Genomic DNA, 3,187 nt, shown 5'->3' with positions numbered 1-3,187 from the left:
AGGTGGAACCTCTTCAGTCCTCCTAATACAGACAGATTTATGGCTCACCTGTTCTGCCAAGGGGTAATGCTGCTGCTTTGTGTAGGGAAGGGGAGGGGCTCCACCTTTAGGCTGATGTGAGTTGTGATGGTGGGTCCACCCAACCTGTGGCCCCTGTTGGTGGTGGTCAGGTGCCAGCAGTGGCGGGCTGGGCTGAGATAATTTCCCAATTCCCAGGCCACTAGGTGGCTCACTGGATGGTGTGTACAAGTCTGAAATGGGCTGGACCAGGATGATGTCAGCCTAGATTTTGGGTACTGACTGTGACAGCGATGGCTGGGCTGGTTCCCAAGTCACCAGCAGAATTCTCAGGGAGGGACAGGAAGAGGCTCAGGTGATGGGCCTCATCTGGGGCAGTGGAGAGTGGCAGCTGTGGGGCCTGTGGCTCACTCACACTTCCTTCCCACAGAAGTGGCACTGGACTTCACTGTTGAGGGTGCACAAAGGTGCCTGATGTCCCTATGCCCTTCTTGGCCCACGGGCAGCAGGGGAAGAGGCAGCAGTGTCGGATGCTGCACAGGGCGTATTGGCAGCCTCTGGGAGTTGGCAGCCTCTGGAAGTTTAGCTGCAGCTGCAGTGCTTAGGCAAGGGCAGGGCAAGTGCACTGTGGGTGCACTTGGGGACTCATTGCCAAAGTAGGCATGCCCCATAGGGGCAGGGAATCAGGATCCAGTGCTGTGTATTGGTCTGCTCCCTGTGCATTGCACCGTGGCTGCAGTTTCTGCGTTAGGCAGCATGGAAGTGTCCTGGCTCCTCATGTCCTCCCGGCTTTTGGGTAGCAAGGGCAAAGGCAGAGGCAGAAGCCTTGGTGACAGTGACTGGGAAGGGCCTAGCAGAAACCTCTGGGAGTTGTGCTCTCAGAGCAATGCTGAGGAATAACAAAATGGCTACTTTATAGACAGAGCAGCCTGAGGGCTGCTGGTTGCCCATTTTTATGTTTATTTCTTGATTGCATGCTAAACAATGGCTGCATTTTCAGGTGGGGGCAGGGTAGCTGCACAGCACCCGGGGGCCTGTAGCTGAAGCAGTCAAACCCTGCCTGAGAGAGCACAGCAAAAGCCTTGGCTTCCCACTCCTCCACACCAGGACTGCCGAGTCAGCTTTGGCGGGGTCCCTGGAAGTGCCCCACCTCCCTGTTCCTTCCCTGGCCTGCAGATGGTGGGGGCAAAGGCAGCAGTGGTGGAAGCGACGGAGGGCCTATCTGTGGCCTCTGGATGTTGATCTGGAGCTGCGGTGTTCAGGCAGTGAAGGGCTGCTGCGCTGGGGGACCTGGTTGTGGGGGTGGGTACCCATTTGGCTGGACACAGTGGAGGCAGGGGATTCCGCCTTGCATTGTTTGCCTGCTCCTTTATACTATGGCCAGGTGGACGAAGATGCCCGGCTTTCATTCCTTTTGATCCCCAAGCAACAGCTGGTGCCAGGCTGCTTGGGGATCAAAAGCCTGCTGGATTCCACGTCGGCTGGAGCAGTACCTCTCCTCAGTCTGAAGCACCTCCCTCTTTCAGTCCGGAGAAACTGGGGGATCGATGATGCTCTCCAGTGACTAGGATTGTAAAGGTCCATGTTGGAGTTGCAGAACCCCTGGTGTTCCTGGAAAGGGGTCCCGATCCACACCCAAAGAGACGGTTCTTGGATCTCGTGTAAGAGAGAACTCAGGGTGAGTCCCTGAAGTTAAAGTAAGTTTAATTTAGAAAGTAAAGGAATAACAAAATGGCTACTTCATAGACAGAGCAGACTGAGGGCTGCTGGTTGCCTATTTTTATGTTTATTTCTTGATTACATGCTAAATAAGCAGTGGATTATTCATACCTCCCCTTTTTAGACCACATAGGGTAACTTCCTGATGTTGCCATGGCATTTGTAAGCTGTCATGGCACTAATGGTAGTGTAGCAGTGACGACGACCAGAAGTCACTCTCAGTGCCATCTTGGTTTTGGTGGGTCTTGGCTGGCGTCTTTACTGCAAACTGTTTTGTCAGCAAGGCTTTCATGACCTGTATCTTGTGCCGACCTCCTATCTCATCCTGTGACTTAGAATGCATAACCTGTCTGGGAATGCAGGCCAGCAGGTCTCAGCCTTATTTCTGTCAGTGTGTATTTAAGATGGAGTTGCTCTGGTTCAAACGCCTCTGAAACGGGGGTCTGTCACTCACTCATCCTTTCCCCTTATTAGGAAGCCTTTCCTGGCTTCATGTAGCTCCCAGCTGTGCAGTCTACTCGGCTTCACTCTCTTCTGCTCTTCATGGTTCCTGTTGCTTCTCTGGTGAATTTCAGAGTGCTTTCGTCAAGGATTCCCTTAAAGTGTTAGTATTTATTTGCTATTTTAACTCCTCTCTGTGAGAGAGGCACCCACTAGCTGCTTGTAGTCAGCCATCATGAACTGGAACCTATTAAATGCACATTTGTTCAAGTTGTTTCTCTTGGGTAGGATAAAGAAGAACAGGATAAAGACGAGTAGGATAAAGTTGTTTCTCTTTATCCTACCCTTCACTATGCTTATGTACAAACAAAAATATTAATATTTTACTTCTTTTATAAGGCTTTACTTGATCTGGTTTCTGTCTATTTCTGCAGACTCCTTGCTAATCAGTTTTTCTTTCCCTGTTGGCTGATATCTCACATTGACCTTACTTTAGCCATCCTATGTTTTACTTCAGAGATTCCATGAAGGTTGTTTCTCTTTCCTCACATTACCAATTGTCTCTTACTTGCCCGTTATATTTTGGCTGAAATATCATTTTCTTAGGGAAACTTTTCTGATTACCCAGACTTATAGCTCCCTGATATATGTCCTTATGATTTTTTAAAAAGTTCATAGCTAGTTAATACTTAAACAGTTATTTGATTAATATATGCTTCCAACTTTAAGCATGATTAAGACAAGAAGACATGATTGGTTTGCTCTTCATTTTATGTCCAACATCTGTATCGGGACTCTTCTTGATATTTGTTGAATAGAAGAACCCTAAATAAACAATTGTTATGGCTAGCATAAACTAAATAATTTTATATTTACAACTTGTAACTTACAACATATTTAAAATATTACAGAAATACTGTCAATCATGTGATGAGATAATGGGAAGGAATTGAAAATGTACATTAAGCAAACAATAACTCAGTATATGGTTTTAACATTTAATATAATT

The 3,187-nt window shown here is 47.7% G+C and overlaps 1 annotated feature.

Moving 5' to 3' along the window:
- Positions 870 to 1,732: an enhancer, noted in NCBI's record as "H3K27ac-H3K4me1 hESC enhancer chr13:71415058-71415920 (GRCh37/hg19 assembly coordinates)". NCBI's record gives its function as "activates a minimal SCP1, AML or CMV promoter by ChIP-STARR-seq in primed H9 embryonic stem cells {active_cell/tissue: H9 hESC(primed)}" and the evidence as "EXISTENCE:reporter gene assay evidence [ECO:0000049][PMID:30033119]".

This window comes from Homo sapiens, chromosome 13 (genome assembly GCF_000001405.40).
Source record: "Homo sapiens chromosome 13, GRCh38.p14 Primary Assembly".
Lineage (NCBI taxonomy): Eukaryota > Metazoa > Chordata > Mammalia > Primates > Hominidae > Homo > Homo sapiens.
The sequence above is the reverse complement of the archived record's forward strand: the minus strand, read 5'-3'. Positions and strand labels throughout refer to the sequence as shown.